At 39.2% G+C, this 20929-nt stretch overlaps 1 protein-coding gene across 48 annotated transcripts in view, besides 1 other annotated feature; it reads right to left on the bottom strand.

Annotated features, from left to right (window-relative positions):
- OSBPL6 (oxysterol binding protein like 6) overlaps positions 1 to 20929 on the bottom strand; it is a 209120-nt gene that overhangs the window by 123917 nt on the left and 64274 nt on the right. The gene's annotated exons all lie outside the window — the stretch shown is intronic.
- Positions 1042 to 1542: an enhancer, noted in NCBI's record as "H3K27ac hESC enhancer chr2:179142162-179142662 (GRCh37/hg19 assembly coordinates)". NCBI's record gives its function as "activates a minimal SCP1, AML or CMV promoter by ChIP-STARR-seq in primed H9 embryonic stem cells {active_cell/tissue: H9 hESC(primed)}" and the evidence as "EXISTENCE:reporter gene assay evidence [ECO:0000049][PMID:30033119]".

The raw sequence follows: 20929 nt of genomic DNA, 5'->3' as shown, positions 1-20929 counted from the left end.
CATTTCTACAAAGAAGGATTGGTCTTAATTTAGGGTTCAACATTCTAAATTGCTTTTCTAGAAATCTGTAGCACAATACACAGTACAACACCTTTTTTTATTATCTTGCTTACTTTGCCTATTGTCACCACTAACTTCATTAGTGAAAAGATAATCATTTTGCTTTTTTCCACTGGCAGCAATGTTTAGACAAGAAATTGATTTTTCTTTTCCTACCTATGAAAGTTTCAAGTTCACTGAGGGTATCTAAGTCTCTGGAGAATATAGTTTAAGTGCCACAATCCAATAGGTTTAATGGAAACAGGTTGTGCTGGGGTAACTTCCTGAAGATGAAATATACAAATTTCAGTCATTGTTACCTAGTAACTACTGTGGCTTTCTTGTTAATAAGTAAAGAGCAAAAGACATTTAACCTCAGAAAAGTATCTTATCTCATTAATGTTACTACATATCAAAGAAGTTAAAATTCACAAGCTGAAATAACATATCAGAGTTTTCATATCCACCACTAAGTATTGATTGATTAATCCACAACAGTAAGTCAATTATGTAGTTATTATATATAAACATCAAAACCAGACTCTAAAGAGGATCTAGAAATGTAACAATCAACAAAAACCAGGCTCTTGCCCTTAAGAAATTTAGAGGGCTCAAAGCCCTAGATAACAGGAAAAGGTATGTGAGTAATCTTTTTAAGTTACAAAAGCAAAATATGTACTATGAATATTGATGGCATGAAAATAATTCTAGCTTGGCGTTTGTGGGCTGGGTGGGAATCAGATCAGAAGAAGTTCCTCAAAAGAGGAGGCATTTGAAAGATGAGTAGATCAGGCAGAAAATGGGCATGCAGGGATGAATAAAGGACATTTCAAACAGTGAGAAAAGTATATGAAAATCAAGAGACGGGAAAGTGTAGTCTGTAGTTCAGAGCTCAGAGCTTAGGGGACAAAGGAGGAGAGTAGAGCAGGGGAAGCCAGAGAAAAGGTTTGAAACAGCGTGGAAGGTCTCAAATGCTGGTGAGAGATTGAATTTCACTGTGTGGGCTGTAAAGAACAGGAGCGAAGTTCAGAACAGGAGAGCCACGTGATCATACTTCATGGAGGGGGATCTAGCCGCAGAACAAACGGGAGGAAAAAGACAAGAGAGAACCTCAGAGATCAGATGGGAGGATGAAGCAACCTGGGAGAGTGGAAACAGGAGGGGACAAACCAAGAACTAACAGTGGACAGGACAGAAGGTGAACCTAGACAGCCTCACGTGTTTCTTGCCTTAGCAAAATAATCAGTGAGAAACAAAACATTCATGATTTTTCAGAAACATGATCAAAGTATAACAAGATATTTTATTTATAAATGCTAATAAACTATATACCCTAATAAACTAATTTGCTCAAGACAAACATAATTTTCTCAGTCTATCACAGTTCTACCATTTAGCCAATTTTTTCAGATTTTTTTGTTTGCATATAACTTAGATCTAATTGACAATATTTCTCTGAGGGTAGGGAAAGTGTTTTCTTTCTTCAAAATTCAAAAGCCAAGCACAGGGAGGACTTGACATTTATTAACCATTCAAAGATTTTTTTCCCCCAAATTAAAGAGTATTGTTAATGCTGACAAAAATTCAGATGACTGATCATACAGCTAAGAATTCTGAGTAGAGGCTATTTAAAGGAATCTGCAATTTTATTATTCCCTTGACAACATCTGTGTGAAATCCAAAGAATAAATATTACAGAAACCACTCAATAGTTCTATTATTCAGTTGAATAAAATTGCATAAAAATTAATAACTCCATTAATTCTAAAACACTATAAACATGCTTAGGACACATCCTAATCTTCTGAAAGGAGTATGCTCTAAAGAAAGAGTTAGCAAACTTTCTGTAAAGGTCCAGATCAGTGAATATTTTAGATTTTGTGCAATCCCTTGATGAAACTACTCAGCTCTGCTGCTGTGCCAGGAAAGGAGCCACAGACAATATATAAACAAATAAACATGGCTGTGTTCCAGCAAAACCTTACTTATAAAAAAGTGGTGGGCACCTACTGCAGTTTGCTGACTCCTGCCTAGCAGAGAATCCAGCTGTGGTGGCTTGATATGGTTTCATTGTTCTTGCTCCTCAATGCACATAACTCTGATGAAGTGATTTAAAAAATTATTGTGAGAAAATGGGCTCAAAAAAAAAAAAAAACTCTTCTAGTGGAGTAATAAAAGGGAAAACAAAATGAAGAAGTTCTGAGGAAGCAATGGATTCACGGAGACAAAGAGAAGTTCAGGGAAACTTATAAAGAAGAATGTAAAGGCCAGGAGTGGTGGCTTAAGCCTGTAATCCCAGCACTTTGGGAGGCCGACGTGGATGGATCACTTGAGGTCAGGAGTTCGAGACCAGCCTGGGCAACATGGTGAAACCTTGTCTCTACTAAAAATACAAAAATTAGCTGGGTGTGGTGGTGCATACCTGTAATCCCAGCTACTTGGGAGGCTGAGGCAGGAGAATCACTTGAACCCGGCAGGCAGAGGTTGCAGTGAGCCAAGATCATGCCACTGCACTCTAGCCTGGGCGACAGAGCGAGACTCCGTCTCAAAAAAAAAAAAAAAAAAACCATTTAGAATATTTAAATATTCTAAGTAGAAATATTTAAAAATGTGACTCACGAAATCATTTCAGGGGATATTCCAACCAATGCCCAAATTCTCACTGAGAGAAAACTTCAGGGAAAGCTTAAACTATCATATAAAAATATTTAAGAAATGCATGAATCTTGACAGAATATTTGCATGAGAGAGGCCTAGGGGATTGGTAAATTTATGAAAGTCTCAGATCATATTTCCCTCATGAATTATGATGATCGTAATATATTTACTTGATACACTAGGGGGAAAGTAGAAAATCCTATCATCAAAGCTTACTAATCTATATTTAAATCTTTAAAAGAGTTAAAAAACTATCTTAACTCAATTACATTTGCTTAACAATGCTACTGCTAATTTACCATTGAAAGTGACTTACTAGCTCTGTGACCTTGTGAAAATTATTTTACTTCTCTGTGCCTCGGGTTCCTCATCTGGAAAAAGTAGCTCTTTCACTGAATTGCCTGAGGATTAAGCAAATTAATGCATGTAAAGTGTTCATAACAGTCCAGGCATACGGAAGTGCTCAAATGTTCTGCTGCTGCTGCTGCTTCCCCAAGTCTCTTCTCCCCAAGTCAGCTTTACTGGTTCCTCTTTTTTTTTTTCCCTCTTTTTTTTCTCCGTTTGGCTTCTCCTGAGTGACCTTGTCTCGCTTTGAGGCCTTAAACCTACCATTTGCTGGAGACTACTCAATCCGTCTCCTCAATGCTGACCTCTTTTCCAGATTGCATTTCCAATTTCCTACTGTCGATTCCATTGCAATATATCAAGGGCACCTGAAACTCAGTGTGTTCAAAAATCAAACCCATTATTATTATTATTATCATTATTATTTTTGAGACAGAGTCTCACTCTCAGGCTGGAGTACAGTGGTGCAATCTTGGCTCACTGCAACCTCCGGCTTCCGGGTTCAAGAGATTCTCCTGCCTCTGCCTTGTGAGTAGTTGGGATTACAGGCGCCCATCACCATGCCCGGCTAATTTTTGTAGTTTTAGTAGAGACGGGGTTTCACTATGTTGGCCAGGCTAACCTCAAACTCCTGACTTCAAGTGATCCACCCGCCTCAGCCTCCCAAAGTGCTGGGATTACAGGCGAAAGCCACTGTGCCCAGCACCATTATCTTTCTGCCCTTGCCCCTTTTCCTTTCCTTATATTTCCTTAGTTAGTGACATCACTCTATATCCTTACTTCATGCTAGAAAATAGTTATTTTTCCATTACCATTTCATTTCTCTACTCCCAGTCATTATCTCCTCCAGGCCATCTTTCATTGTCATCGGAGTTATCTTTCTTAAAACATAGATTTGATCATGTTATCCTGTTGCTCAATTACTCTCTATTGCTTGGGGAAAAGATCTGTGGACCTAGGAGTGCGCTTCAGAGACTCTGGAAAGTGTCTGAAATTGGATACAAAAATTTCTGTGTCTTTCATTTAAAAAAAAAAAATCATGGTCCTAGAGGACAATTTTTAAACTGCTCAGCAGGGTACAATCTGAAGTTTAAGTTGCATCCTAGTCACACTCCTATATCTGAAACATACTGTTGAGTGGACAACAAAAGAGATGTAAATATATTTTTGGTGTCTGGATATTGTAATATTGGTTTGAAATTTCTTAAATTCAAAGTTTCACCTTATAGAGAATACATAGTTATAAATATGTAGACATACATTGTGTTTACTTAATTAAATCTAGGGACACCCTTACTGGTGTCCCTGGATTTGAATGAGATCAATGGTAAAGACCGGAGGCCTAACAGCCTAGGTTCAAACCCTGGCTCAGTCAATTGCCAGTAATGTGACCTTGGGCAAGTTACATAGCTTCTGTTCCATGATCTGTGAAGATGGAGAGAGTAACAGTACCTGCCTTTTGGGATTATTCTGAGGATTAAATTAGTTTATTATGTACAGTTTATTTATTAGTTTATTTATATATAGCACTTAAGACTACATAAGTGCTTGCTATTATCATAATTATTTATTGAAAGCCAAGACTCAAGTTTGCAAGAGATAATCACAGAGCAAAAAAAAAAAAAAATTGACCTCGCCCACATAAGCCTCAAGCTTTAATCAACTGAGTTAGTTAGCCAGAGAATACTAACAAAGATGGCCCTCTTCACTAATGTTTTTATCAACTGAAAAGTGTTGCAAGCCTATCTGATAAAATTCTTTTACTAGCTTGCAATAACTAAAAGCATCAGCTCAGAATATTTCCAAGGCACACTATAGGTACACTAAAATAATTACTTTGAATAGAAAAAAGCCAGAGCTGCTCTTTCCTGGGCAGCAAATCAATGGGCATCTCATTGCTTACCACGTGCCCAATGTAAAGGGAAAATGCTAAGTAGGAAATTGGGAAGAAAGATAAAGGAGCTCAATGACTCAGCTTTCAAACAAGCTGGTGTCTTGTTTGCCAGAGATATGGGCTATTAGGCATTATCAACACCCACCTGGCCAAGAAAAAAGCTGTGAAATGTAGATCCCAATATCAGCAAATCTATGGACAAATCAAAATAAGTGTATGCTGTATGCCTTAGCTGACTTTCTCTGAGTGATATGGTTATGCGATGTATTTGCAACTGCCTCTGTTTAAAATTGTCAGCCAAAAAATGCTATTTTCACTCATATTATAAATACTGCAGTTGTATAAACAGTAGTATTTGTTCCCCAACAAACTGCCAAAAGGATCACTTTACTGTTTATTAATGGCATAATAATCAGACCTTAGGTTAAAATACTTTTAATTTACTTGTTTACTTTTTTTTTGAGACGGGGTATCACTTTGTCACCCAGGCTGGAGTGCAGTGGCCCAATCTGAGCTCACTGCAGCCTCCACCTCCCAGGCTCAAGCAATCCTCCCACCTCAGCCTCCCGAGTAGCTGGGAATACAGGCATGCACCACCATGCCTGGCTATTTTTTGTAGAGATGGGGTTTCACCATGCTGTCCAGGCTGGTCTCAAACTGTGAAGCTCAAGTGATTCACCTGCCTTGGCCTCCCAAAGTGTTGGGACTACAGGAATGTGCCACAGCCCGGCCATATTAAAATACTTAAGTTAATACTGAAATTAGAGAAAGACAGAATAAAGCCGAAATTCCTTAGCCTACTATTAGAGATCCTTCATGATCTTACCTCAACTAACTTTCCACCTTCCTCTTCCAGGATATACTTCTTGAAATCTTCAAGCAAATGAAACGTCTTGCAATTCCCCCAATCATACTCACTCTTTACCCACTCTGTGCATTTCCTCTACCTAGAACAGTCTCCCCATTACATCTCCAAAGTCTAAATCCCATCCTTTTCAGGCCCTGTCTGGATGACAAGAAGCCATTCTCTGTGGCTCAGTGGAATTATCCAGGATCTTAACTTTCATAACTTTCACTCAGCACCTATGGGAATTTCCTCAGCCCATCTTGATCAAAGTTACTAACACATGCCTTTTATTTTCAAGACTGGATGCTCTCTGAGGGCAATGTCTACAACTGCTCCATCTTTGTAAGCCCACCTGCACCATTTGCACTTATGCCCATGGCAGGTGCTCATGCTTTTTGCTACAGTATGCAAGAAGGATGCTAAAGTGTGCTAAAGCTCAAGTGACTGATCATTTAAACCAAATGGACAAGTACCTGCACTCAGACAAGTTTTGCTGAAGAAAGACTTCAGTTAAAAAGATATGCAATGAGACTTGTTTCCTTGTGAAGCAAACTGAGAGAGGAGAATTGTAATGCTACTCCCAGGGCATTTACCGACTAGTGATCTGCCAACAGCTACTAACGGTGGTGCATTAAAAGCTTCCTTCCCATTGAGGTAACTGATAATATACTTCCAAATTAGATAAATCATAAGATAGCTGATCCTGTCTTTCCCCTGCTGCAAACTTAAAATACTGTTTGCCTCTGGGGCCTTGGATCAAGAGCTTTCAAGATCTGCGTATACAGTGATCATTTCAATCATCATCTCTAATATGCCTTTAACACTAAATATCCAAGTACCAAAATGCAAAAATTACATAGTCTGATACATAACAGAACCCCCAAGTGCCAAGACAGGGAAAGATTAACAAAAGTATATCCAAACATCAGCAGTCTGATACTACTTGGGCAGAAGTTGACAAGTCCTAACATGGCACTTGGCAGTAACTGAAATGCTTTTTGGATCGCCAAGTGGAGGCTGACTTCACTCTTACATGAAGCTCCAGGGCTGTGCTGAACAGTAAGTTCTTGCCAGACCACTGGACAGCTGCCCACTGTCTGCAGTCCTGTGTTCACAGATGAGATTTCTCTGGCTATTCAGTTCAAAACCTGTTACGTAAATGAGTTTTGATATTCACTCTTGGACAAAAGTAATTTCCCTAAGCCTCAAATCCTGAAAGAACAATCTAAGTCCTAAACCAGATGAAAGAACAGACTTTTACAGAACTGTCTTGACTAAGTTGTGCTAATGGGAAATTTTCTGTTGGGTCCTCTATCTGGTAGGGCTTTCATATCAATGACATCTGGAACATTCAGTCTAGAATATCACATTTCTAGTATCTATTGGATTACTGGAATGGCAACTGAATCCTTGGGCAGGGAGCAGGAGATTCTAAGTGTTTTAATTGAGTCAGTCTTTAAAATAACTATTATGTATATTCTTTAAAGTATAAACATGTTTGTCACATGCAAATCGAGGTCAAAATAATGTTTAAAAATTATTAATAAATTAGGTGAACACTGTTAGTAGCACTGCCATAAATTATACAGTTTTTGAAATGATAAAATAGAGCCTCAATAAGTCTAAGGTTTGCATAATCTGTAACATTTTTCATATATAGCTTTACTGAATAACCCTGGCTGAATTTCTCTTTTTTGTTTTGTTTTGTTTTTAAGCAAAAACAAAACATTGTTAAGCAGCCGAATTTCTCTTTGAGTCAGTTCTTCAGTCTCCCAGTCTGCTTTGAGGGAATTATTTCAAGCTGCCCCATTTCTTAGGCCTCTTGCTGTATCTCTCTTCATCTAGATTTCCATTTGGTTTCCACAGTGACTTGTTTGCTCATTAGAGCACAACAAAATTTAACAACTAAATCAGGCATATTAGCATTCTTATGACTAAAGCTTCCTGTATTTAAATAGATGGTATTGTCAGTAAAATTGAAATAAATTTTAAAATGCCGAGACAGTGAACAATGCCATCCATTACAATTCAAAGCTGTTCTTCTGGAAATATAATTTGATGTCATAGGCTGATTTAAAAAAAACTGGATAGGGCAAACAAGGTAGACTATGATTTCCTTGAAATTGAGAGCTTCCTTTGGGCACAAGTGGAAGTCTGTGGTACTGTGTAAAGATAACATGGTTTCGGAGTTAAACAGGCTTAATTCCAATCCCAGTGTTGATGTTTTCTAAATTTGAAGCCCTGGGCAGGTTACTCAGCCTATCTGACCCTCTATTTCCTCATCTGCAAAATGGGGATTTGGCCTGATAAAACCTAGTTCAAGTTACTTTTGAGATTACAGGTAAGGTGTTCAGGGCCTAGTACTGTAAACTTTCTAACATAGATCAACTAATATTAGGTTAACATTTTTCTTTTTCAAAACCAAGACCAATGGATTATTCTAACACCTCTATATACATCATACTTTCTTCACACTAAAAAATTGCCATCTCTGGGAGAAATTACATCCCCAAAAGATTAAAAACATTCATATCAAACATCCAACTTTTGTGAGGCTCATAGAAATAAAGACCATGAATTTAGAAGTTCAAAGCACCACAAAGAATAGGCAGCTGTCATGCGGTGAGTGGCTAAGAGCCCCGTGTCTGGAACCATGTCGGTTCACATTCCTACTCTTCCACCCTCTAACTGCGTGACGCTGGGAAAGGTATGCCTCCTCTCTGTTCCTTGGTTTCCCTATCTGTGAAATGTGGCTACTAAGAGAGTGTCCACCTCACAGAGTTGTAATGAGAATTAAACAACACTGCCTGGTATGTAGGAAGTGCTCAATGTTACCTTTTATTATTATTAAAGCAGCTTTGCCCAAAAGTCACATTGCACATATTTCCAGATTCAAATCATTCATAGTCATGCTTTATGATTCTCCCTGTTCATCTCTCTCCACACAAAAAGAAAATAAGAGGTCATCTTTGATAAGGGAGCCAAATTGAAGAATTTCTTGGAAAGCATTAACTGCCTGATTGCTGTTCTCCATGGTGCAGACCTGTCCTGAGCCTACCCCCAACCCTGCTGCAGGGGTCCTATCACAGGCTCCCTCTTTACTACCAGGCAGTCCGCAAGTCTGGCCTACTCAGGGAGCAAAGAGAGGCTGTGGCCACTAACCCATACCTGAACAAGCCAGTGTGTTATCGTCCGCCCTGCCTGACATTCTGCAGCAGTAGTAAAGCAAGAGTTATCGGCACAGAGCAGACTCTCAATTAAGTTGGGATGAATGACATGAACCTGGCAAGTGATAAAGCTGGAAGCTTTGATCTCCATAAAGGTCAGAATTCAGTAACTGGCTGCCACTATGCTTTTCCTATTATTTGCCTTCCTAAGTGATGGCCCTACCTCAGGATCCACTTGAATACTGACCGAATGCCTATATTGTGCCTGGCCCTGAGCATGTGGCAGTAGGAAATCAGGTACTATTCCTGCTCTCTGGAGCCTACTCTGTAATATAACAAGGCCCTGAAAGGGAGAGGCAGGGTTTGGAGTCTGGAAATATGAGTAATGCTAACACTGGGAAAAATTCATTCCCTCCCTCCCTTGGGTTGCAATGACCAGAGTCTTTATACATTTTAAATGAACTCTACTGACATCTACAAAACAGTTAAGGATCCATATTTAAATTCTCTTACATTGCTGTTGGGAAAATGAATTGGTATGACCACTTTAGAAAAATGTTTGGCAACATCTTCTAAAGGTACCAATACTCTATGACCCAGCAATTCCATGTTATATACCCAAGAGAAGTGAGTATTTATGCCCATTAAAAGACAAATTGTTCATAGTAGCTTTATAAACATTAATAGTAGTCCCAAACTTAAACTAACCCAAATGTCCATTAACAACATAATATTGTGGGACCTTCCAGGTTGGCAAACACAATGAGGTCCTGGAAGAGTGACACACCCAAGGGGGGCACAGAAGCTCTACATGCCCTCCTGGCCCATCCCCTCATGTCCTGCCCTATACCTCTCTTCTGTCTGGCTGTTCCTCAACTGTATCCTTTATAATAAACTGGTAAATGGTATTAAAGAAGAGTTAAATGAGCAGAGAGCTATACCCTGGCCTGCCAATACTGACACACAGGAGAACAAGAGCTATGCAAAGCAATATGGACCAATCCAAAAAGCATACCCTCAGCACAAACACAAAGTTGCAGATTGAAGCTCAGTGCACATACAATCATGCAGGAAGCACTGGAGGCCATCTTAGGACAATGGGGCAAAAAGTCCAAAGATGGATGCCAACATGCTCAGGAAGGAGGAAAAAATGGGCAGGCGTGTCACTTGCTGCCATCTCTGAGCTCTACCAACCCAGATGTGAACCTGCCTCAATGCTCTGGCTATAAGGAGGAATAAATGTCTCTATTTTCTGGGAAAAAAAAAAAGACAGAGAGACAAAATATAGAATATTGTGGAATAGTCATATGATGAAATAATAAACAGAATAAAAAAAGAATGATTCATGCAACAGCATGCAACAACATGGATGAATTTCAACATAAGAGAGGACCATTGTATAATTCCATTTATATGAAGTTCAAAGACAGGCTGCACTAATGTGTGGTGACAGCAATCAGAATGGCATTCCAAGGGGAGTATGGACTGAAGAAGTCATGACAGAACCATCCAACATGCTAGAAATGCTCTATATCTTCATCTGGAGGTAGTTTTGTGTATCCATATAGATATAAAAAATAATCACAGTTACATTTAAGATGTGTGTACTTTACTATAATTACACCTTTTAGAAAATTTAAATAAGGGCCAGGTGCAGTGGTTCACGCCTATAATCCTAGCACTTTGGGAGGCTGAGGCGGATGGATCACCTGAGGTCAGGAGTTCGAGATCAGCCTGGCCAACATGGAGAAATCCCGTTTCTACTAAAAATACAAAAATTAGCTGGGCATGGTGGCAGGTGCCTGTAATCCCAGCTACTTGGGAGACTGAGGCAGAAGAAACGCTTGAACCTGGGAGGCAGAGTTGCAGTGAGCCAAGATCACATCATTGCACTCTAGCCTGGGCAACAAGAGTGAAACTCCATCTCAAAAAAAAAAAAAAGAAAATTTAAATAATCTAAAAGCACCATATTTACTTTAAAACCTTTAGTGTTCTCCAGCCTTGAATCAGTCATTCACTCAGTAATTCATTCATGCCAATATTTACTCAACACCTACCACTATGGTAAGCACTGCAAGCCCACCACGCATGGTCTTCATCATTAGGAAGTATGGATATTAGCAGAGAAAATCACTCCACTGATAGCGTCATTCATTTGGCAATAAATCACAAACTACTTTCTGACACCTCATCTTTTTTTTTTTTTTTTGCAATTACTTGACATTTTATATGTTGCTTATAGTTACAGCTGGTCTCAATTTAAAATGTAAATTCCTTGGTTGTTCCAAACTTTTCTATGCTGTTAAATGCCTAGTGCAGTATCTTATACACAGCAGGCAGGTGACAATTTCACATTTAACCTGTTACATCACAGTACTTTTCTTGGCCTCAAGTTTTCTGGCCAATGTTCTTTTTCTCTGGGTTTTCATTTTTCTCTGCCCCTGATGAAACCTGAAAATCACTTACTAGAATAATATATAGCTTATACTTACATATATCCTACAACGAGAGTATTAGATGTAGCTTTTGTTATTTTCAGTTTTCTTTTCATCCTATAATAGAGCTTAAGAGTATGGGAGAAGTGAAGTGGGGAAGGTAAAGACATAATAGATAGACTCATGTCATTGAAGAAAATGATAAACCTTGTTTTGTTTTTTTTTTTTTTTTTTTTTTGAGATGGAGTTTCACTCTGTCACCCAGGCTGGAGTGCAGTGGCAAGATCTCAGCTCACTGCAACCTCCGCCTCCTGGGTTGAAGCAATTCTCCTGCCTCAGCCTCCTGAGTAGCTGGGACTACACACACAAGCCACCATGCCCGGCTAATTTTTATATTTTTAGTAGAGACAGGGTTTCCCCATGTTGGCTAGGCTGGTCTCGAACTCCTGACCCCAGGTGACCCACCTGCCTTGGCCTCCCAAAGTGCTGGGATTACAGGCATGAGCTACCATGTCTGGCCTAAACCTTGTTTTGACAATTTGCAGTGCATTGGCAAAAACAAAAATAGCCATGTCTCTCTGGCTCTCCTCCCCATGCTGCTCAAGACCCCACTGACACCATCTGTATCAACATGTCCAGAAAACATCCTTGTGAATGACACAGAGAGTTCCAGTCTTATCTACCTCCTAGTATTTTTTTAAGTGCAACTTTTCTAAGGGTCACTAATGTGGAAAAGATTTAAAAGTACCAGGAAAAAGCTTGGACCCCACAATGGAATGTGGTTAACAATAGTAATAATTGCACTTACAAATGGGGGCAAGTTGAAAGAACTTTGAATTGCTTTAGTTTCATAATTTTCTTTTCTGTGGTCTTGTTGCACATAGTGATTCTTGAAGCCACCTGTTATCACTGGAGTGAAGAGACTGTGAGGGGCGGTGCTCTGAGGTCTCAACCTCGCTCCATGTGTTAAGGCTTTGTGTTCATGTTCCTGCTGACCTGCAGGATCCGAGCAACTGAGTACCATCTGCTCCCTCACAAGAGCCATGCCCACCTTACAGACGGAGCAAGCTGATCAACCACAAGCCCGGTGGCTTCTGTGGTAGAGCATGCTGACATAACAGAACTGGCTTCTGTTTGGTTCTTTCACTGTTCAAAGGCAGAATCCCAAATGCCACAGGATTTCACTTTCCATCCTCTTCTGAGACACCAGCTCACTGTAAATTATAAGGTATCATCCTGGGTGCAATCACTGTAAGTCATACTCTAAGTTGTAATAGGTCAATAAACAGCTGAACACTTAGTGTTATCCTACAAAAATCAGAAACACACATATATGGGGCTCCAATAGTTCACGGGGCTCACTGTGGTCTTCTTGCGATTGAGACCAGAATCCCCAGCATGCCCCGTGAATCTCAGTGTGATCTGCCCCTGCTTCCTTCCTTGCCTCATCCCACACCATGTTACTCATCCTCTTAATTCCTAAAGCAAATTCTGTTTCCTTGGCCCGAAAAACACTTCTTTCCCTTTCCTTAGCATCTAGTTAATCCCAATTCAGCCTAACCGTCAGTTCCCTGGGGAAGTATTCTCTGATCCTGCAGGCTGGGCCGGATCTCTCTGCTTTGCAGTCTCATAGCACCTGCATTTTTGTTTCAGCATTTATCACAGTTTGCAATTAGAGATTTCTGTGATTTTTTTCAGGCATATGTTTTACCCACTAGTCTGCAAGTTTCTCAAAGCTACATGATGCTCAATAAATATCTGTAGAACAAAGTGGGGAGGGAAACACAAAAGGAAGGAAAGAAGGTAGAGGAGGAAAGGGGAGCGAGAGAGAAAGAAAATAAAAAAGTTTACGAAGGTAGTGCCTGCTTCAGTCTTGTCAGATTTAGGCTAGTGACAGGGCCTAAATCCAACCCAGATTAGACTCCCCACCAAAAGGCTGCCATGCTTCCAAGAGCTGTGATAAATCTTCCCACTTAAAGCCACCACAAAAAAGAACCAGTAACCTCTAATACGCTGAGGGACAATTATTCAATACTGGAACTGAAACTTGGAAAACAGCATGAATAAATTAAAGCATCCAGCTGGCACGTTGGCCTGCACCTGTAATCCCAGCACTTTGGGAGGCTAAGGCAGGAGGATCACTTGAGCTCAGGAGTTTGAGACCAGACTGGGCAATATAGGGAGATCCTGTCTCTACAAAAAATAAAAATAAATTAGCCAGGCCTGGTAGCACACACCTGTGTTTCCAGCTACTTAGGAACTTAAGGTGGGAGGATCACTTGAGCCCAGAAGGTTGAGGCTACAGTGAGCCATGAGTGTACCACTGTACTCCAGCCTGGGTGACAGAGCAAGATGCTATCTTAAAAAAAAAAAAAAAAAAAAAAAAAAAAAAAAAAAAAAGTCTCGTCTGGGCCAGGGGAAGTGACTTATGCCTATAATCCTAGCACTTTGGGAGGCCAAGGCAGGAGGACTGCTTGAGACCAGGAGTTAAAGACCCGCCAGTACAACATAGCAACAGAGTAAGACCTCATCTCTAAAAAAAAAGTGAAAAAAAAAATCAGCCAGTACTAGCTACTCAGGAGGCTGAGGCAGGAGGACTGCTTGAGCCCAGGAGTTGGAGGCTGCAGAGGGCTATGATTACACCACACCATTGCACTCTAGCCTGGGCAAAAGAGCAAGACTCTGTCTCTAAAGAAAAAAAAAAAGTATCCTGGTATCCTATGCAAACTTTTTGGGTGGTATTCAGTCATTTTATAGAAACACACGTGAATTTTTAATAAGATAACAATTAGTACAAAATCCTAAAAAAGTAAAATATTTAAAAAGTCACTGTGCCACACTGACAATACTCTTGAGTTTTCACATTCCCTTTGAGGTCTATACAAATGATTCCCAATGTAAGGGCTAGGGACCCATTGGAGAATATGCAATTGTAAGGGGCCTGAAAATACACACACAGAGGAAGTATTGCCTGCAGACTGAATACATTAAAACCCAATTATCACGTTGAAGACCAGGAAATTTTGTATGTTGAAAAAGGTCCTCATTCTCCAAATAGTTCAAAGCTATGCAATTTAGAAATTAGTTATAATTGGTCCTGTTTCCCAGCACAAATGTTAGAGGTCCTCTTGTGAAACGGGCCCTTATCACTCTGTCTGAGTCAAAATTGTTTTCAACCTCATTAGGGAACTCACCAGACATGCAAGGTGCTGCAGTGCCTAATCTAGTGCTTACAGGAATATGCTCAATTTTCAGGAGTTAACATTTCTGAATTGCTATAAGGTCTTTAAAGGAAATGATGCCATAAAAACCCAGTGTTAGTGTGATAATGATCAGTTTGGACATTTATATGAGAGAATGATGCTTCAAATCAAGTAATTTCAAGGGACTTAATTTACTTTTTTTTTCATGTTTTATGGGTTTTACTTTTTCCTGGTTAATTTTCAGAACTGAGTGATATAACTGAAAGATATTACTGGACAAAGCAATTGACATTCACCAAGGAAGTTAGGGTAGTGTCCCATATCACAGCCCCATTGTGGGTGACCAGGAAGGGAGGCCCTGCCACCAGACAGCTCCCTGAGCTTCATGTTAACATGCCACAGTCCTCTCTGTTGTAAATGTGGGCTATAAGTGACTAAAAGCACTGGCCAAACAGCAGAAAGAAGAAGCTTCAGGGATCCTGAGGCAGTTTTAAATTTATCATCATCATTTTAGAAAATACTGAGAATTTTCTGTTTCACCTGTGTACACGCACACACACACACACACACACACACACACACGTGTACACAGTTGAGTGTCTCTGCCGGTCCTCAGACATGAGGTATGAGAGATGACGTTTTGCAAGCAGGAGCCTGCCATGTCCCCAAGCACACGTTTGTGGTCACAGAAAGAAAAGAGTGATCACCAAGCATCCCAATACAGCAGAAAACCACACTTACCAAGAGTCAGATGTCTGGGTTTCTAGTCATGGTTCTGCTGCCTTGATGTGTGTCACTTTGTACAAGTAACTTACCATCTCTGGGGCTTGAACTCTTTATAAACCAAGGATGCTAGGCTGCTAGAGGATTGCAAATCTTCTTCCAGCTCTGACAGTCTATTCCTTTTTTTGGGACTGAGTTTCGCTTTTGTTGCCCAGGCTGAAGTGCAATGGTGCAATCTCAGCTCACTGCAACCTCCGCCTTCCAGGTTCAAGCAATGCTCCCATCTCAGTCCCCCAAGTAGCTGGGATTACAGGCATGTGTCACCACGCCCAGCTAATTTTGTATTTTTAGTAGAGATGGGGTTTCACCATGTCCGTCAGGCTAGTCTTGAACTCCTGACCTCAGCTGATCCGCCCATCTCGGCCTTCCAAAGTGTTGGTATTACAGGCGTGAGCCACTGCGCCTGGCCTTGACAGACTATTCTATATGTGCTTTTATCCAAGATCATACTAACACCCTGTTCCTGGAGAAAACTATCATGGAACTAATTCTCATTTCAGAACAGATAAGATCCAGCAAAAGTTTTTTTTTTAAATCTAATTTTTCCACCCATTTCCATGATAAATTTGAAACTATAGCATCGAAAGACTGAGTCTAGAATTTCTAACAAGACAAGAATTAATGAAGTATCAGAAGAGTCTGTTGAGTACTATATGGAATTTGGATGCACTTTTTCCAACTCTAAATTTCAACTGTATTTGATTCCTCATCTCCATCCCATATTTACCCAAATTATTAATTCTTAGAAACAGTTTAAAGTGAAGGAGATCTATATATATTAATGTCTCCTAATTTTTCATTAAACACTGGTCACTAGGATGATGAATATAGTTGCCTATGCCCTAACACTGTACCTTTAAACAGTGATTTAGAAACTTAAGCATTCAGATTTCTCTCTTCCACCATTAATCCACTGGATCCCACATCCCTAAAGAGGGAGACTATTAAGCTACTTCCTGTCGAAATATCAAAAGGAACTCTGCTCTTGTCACACTGCATTTCAGTGATGTCTATTTCAAAATATTAATATTTTTCTTTTTTAAAAATGAATATTAAGCTTAAATAAACACAATGACACTTCTGGTATCATTTATTTTGATCATAAAATCCTTGCCTTGGAGACAAATTCTGAATAAGAATGAAGTGGAGTTTGGCTAACATTTTGTTACTACCCTAAAATACTGGTAAATTTGCATTTTCATTCATCAAAAACAATTTTCTTTTGCAATACATATTATGGAAAATTTAATACTCAAACAATTATTTCACACATTAATCTGTTAAATATTTAACAAATTTACTTCACTATTGAAGATATTCAATTTGAAAACTGACATAGTTTTGAGACTGGCATTTTAAACCTGTATGGCAGAGATTTTTTAGCAAAGCAAAAAATTCTATCTCTATGCTTTATCCTAAATTTTCCTATAAGTAAGTAAAATAATTCAGGTCTTCATCTCAAATTGTAACATACATACTTATAATGTTTTGCCTTAGATATAAACTCTGTGCATGACACATATATCCCTACCCTGCTTAAGACAAAATACTAACCAAAATGCCTTACACATTGCCTCTCATTAAATAATAATAACAGCAACATTAAAGTTTAGGATCAGTAGGAGAAATCTGACAAAAATGGTGACATAGCTCTCATCTGACTATAAAGGAAAACCAGAACCACTGTGGACATGAGGGGTTTGTACCCAGCCAATCTTGTCTTATATTCATACACTGAATATCTCATTTCTAGAGATAAAATCCCTTTTCCAAGAAAGTGTTCAAAGTGAGAAAATAGTTGAAGAAAGGTCAACCAAAGTTGAAATTCGTTCAATACAAAATTATCCATTTGAACTTCTATAATCTGTTTTCTGATCTCTTCACTTCACATAAGACACTTTGCATCAAGGCCTCCAGCCATTTCTGTACTGCAGAAGCCAGTAACTAATAATATTTGCGTTTCACCTTTCTGAGTCCTTTCTTTATTCAGACACATTTGAATGTAGTTTTTCTGAAAGGGAAAAGGAGTAGACAGAAAAACAGACTGTATAATATTTTAAGATCCTTTTGCAGTTCTTTTTTCTACAATTTGAAAATTATGTCCTTAGCTCCTTCTATATTATAGTCTTTGATCAGTTACCCCATGCTTTTCTAACTAATCATTTTTTAGTTAGTTCTCTTACGTTTTTCTTCCTTGTTTTTTTTTTTTTTTCAATTATAATGTTCCTGAGGAGTAACATGAGTAATTCTTAGGTATACAGGGTGATGTTTTACAAATGTATACAACTACGTGACCACCACCCAAATCAAGGTATAGAAATTAACCTCCCAATCAAGAATTCCTCAAAGAACCACCATTTTGATTTCTAATACCAAAGATTCCTTTCTTCCAGTTTTAAACTTTATATAGATAAGCATCAGGGGTTTTTTTGTTTTGTTGTTGTTGTTTTGTTTTGTTTGTATTGTTTTGTTTTGAGATGGAGTTTCACTCTGTTGCCCAGGCTGGAGCGCAGTGGTGTGATCTCGGCTCACTGCAACCTCCACCTCCCAGGTTCAAGCGATTCTTCTGCCTCAGCCTCCCGAGTAGCTGGGATTACAGGCGCCTGCCATCACACCTGGATAATTTTTGTATTTTTAATAGAGATGGAGTTTTGCCATGTTGGCCAGGCTGAACTCAGGTGATCTGCCTGCCTCAACCTCCCAAGGTGCTGGGATTACAGGCATGAGCCACCGCATCTGGCCTAAGCATCAGTTTTTAACTTGAAATTTCGTAACATCCATCTACAGCAGGATGAAGAAGTAAAATGGTTTCATTGAGAACTAGGATTTTTGGCATGACAGAAAAGAAGTAACGATACATATTAGCGAGTTTGAGTTTTTAAAAAATCTCTTGTTATTTCCAATCTGAATTAGAATTATCAGCATGAGCTCAAGAAATAGTTTATTTAAAGGTAAAATTTCCTAACTTTATCCTCTGAAAAGGCCTAGAAATAATGACTAACCAAGTAGTAATCACCACCCCTTGTGCCCATATTGTATCTGGAAATACCATTTCCATCTTAGAGCTCCTTAGAGAGATGGCCAATCCCAGGTCTGCAGACAAAAAAATAGAATGAGCCTGAAACACCTTGTCTACTAGGACCACATTATAAATTAGTAGAAAGACAGACAGAGAAGACAGACACATACATACACATATACATATACATACACATACACATACACATATACATATACATATACATATAGCTTGGAAGTCAATTGGAAGGGCTCTCCTAGCCAAAAATGGGATAATTAGATAATCCAAAAGAATAATTACTACAATTGAATTGAAACATATCAAATGTGTTTAAGTCCATATGGTTATGATGATCTTCTAAAAAAACAATTCATTGGTCACCTTTGGAGGTCAGCTAACCAACCCATCTTGAAACTGGTGCATAAAAGAAAATAATAAAGAATTTATCCTGCTTTTCTATGACACATCATTAGCAGCAGGTAGCTGAGGCCTTAATGTGGAACAGTTATTTTTTACAGAATCATTCCAATTAATGAAGAAGAATATTAGAATTAGAAGATTACCATTTTGCATCTCCTAATGAATGAATGGAACCTCAGCAAATATCATCCATCGCTGCTATGGTAATTACCAAGGCCAGTCACATCCTCTCCAAGTTTCACATAGGGAAACAGATCACCCAGTATAGACTCAAGCTTAAGCGGCAAAGGGAGTAAAGCCAAAGTTAATTTTACCATTTGGACTCTCTTCTCTCCAATGAGTTAAAGAAATTATGAGTAACTCAGCAATATCAGCCCGCAAACTTTCTTTGGAATAGAAACTGCCGCCTGTCAAAGAAGCCAGAGGCAGTTATAAATTAGTTCATCCCTGGGTTCACTGCTCTACTTAGGAGTATTTCCTATATAAACTCTTACATATGTCTTCCCTAAAAGCTAAAAGTAAGGGTAATTCTGACTTTTTTTTGGTGGGATGGGGGTTCTGTGTTCTCTTCCTCCAACCTAAAATAGAGATAATTAAGTTAAAGAATTCAAAGAAAATTCCCTGAAGAAGAAAAACACATTTGGATCCAATTCGACTGTTGAGTCCTGATTTCTTTTAAATGAAATGAAATGCAAGCTCTGGGTACAGTAATTTAACCACTATTTTGATCATTTCTCTTCTACTTAATTAGCAAAACTGAACCATTAAGTAATCTCGTTAAAAATGAAGAGACAGGTAAATGGCTTTCTGGATTTTACAATTATCAGCGCTTGACCTTAAAAAGTCAGCACAATCTCAAACGGAATTTGATCAAAAGACCTCCAAAGACATATATGCTTTCTGTCACTCATTTTCCAGAAAAGTAAAATAACAAAAACATATATGCAGGTACACTTGGGGAAAATAGGGGGCAGGAAGCACGGTGGAGAAGCATCTGTTATATTAGCCAATGACTCAGCTAGCTACAGGCAAACTACTTCACAATGTGGCATCTCCTCCAACAACAACCTTCAGAAGAGAAACAGCTCTGTCACTGGAGAGAATGATGGATCCCTGATCAGGAAAACTGTTCATCTCTCTATGTGAGCTCAACTAATAATGAGAGGAAGCCAGAGCTTGGGTTTTCTCAGAGTATCATTCAGAGAATTATCTTTCTGTAACTATGAGTTCAGGCTATAGCTCCAGACTCAACAAATAGTATTATATTCCTGATTAAAAAAAACCAGACGTTTACAGACTTGAATCTGAATAAAAGAAGCCACACACAAAAGAACACATACAGAGAGATTTGATTCATAAGAAGTTCAAGAACAAGCAAAAGTAGTCTCCAGTGGAAAAAAAAAAAAGTCAAAACAGCCCTGGTCTGGGCAGGATGGGGAGTTGACAGCAAAAGGACATACAGGAATTTTTTTTGGAGAGACAGAACTATCATGATAGGCGTATGAGTTACATAGGTATAACCATTTGTCAAGACTGTATAGCTAAGACTAGTGCTTTCAGTATAGGTAAACTTCTTAAAAATTTTTAAAAATCACCATCATTATCATCACGTGGGGCTGAGAGTTGGTGGATGTATAGATGATATAAGAATGGTGGGATATCAATAATTGTCGTGGCTGAGTGATGGGTACATAGGTGTACAGTATTCTGTTTAATCTATACATGTTTGAAATTTTCCATGATAAAATGTCTTTTAAAAAACTAGAGCCTGGCCAGGCACAGTGGCTCACGCCTGTAAATCTCAGCACTCTGGGAGGCCGAGGCGGGCCGATCGCTTGAGGCCAGAAGTTTGAGACCAGCCAACATGGCAAAACTCCTTCTCTACTAAACACAGAAAAATTAGCCAGGCATGGTGGCACACGCCTGTAATCCCAGCTACTCGGGAGGCTGAGGCAGGAGAAGCGCTTGAATTGGGGAGGCGGAGGCCATGGTGAGCCAAGATCGCGCCACTGCACTCCAGCCTGGGTGACAGAGTGAGACTCCATCTCAAAAAAAAGAAAAAAAAACTAGAGCTTTAAGCCAGTGCAGTGGCTCACACCTGTAATCCCAGCACTTTGGG

This window comes from Homo sapiens, chromosome 2 (genome assembly GCF_000001405.40).
Source record: "Homo sapiens chromosome 2, GRCh38.p14 Primary Assembly".
NCBI lineage: Eukaryota > Metazoa > Chordata > Mammalia > Primates > Hominidae > Homo > Homo sapiens.
This window is presented reverse-complemented; position numbering and strand designations above follow the sequence as displayed.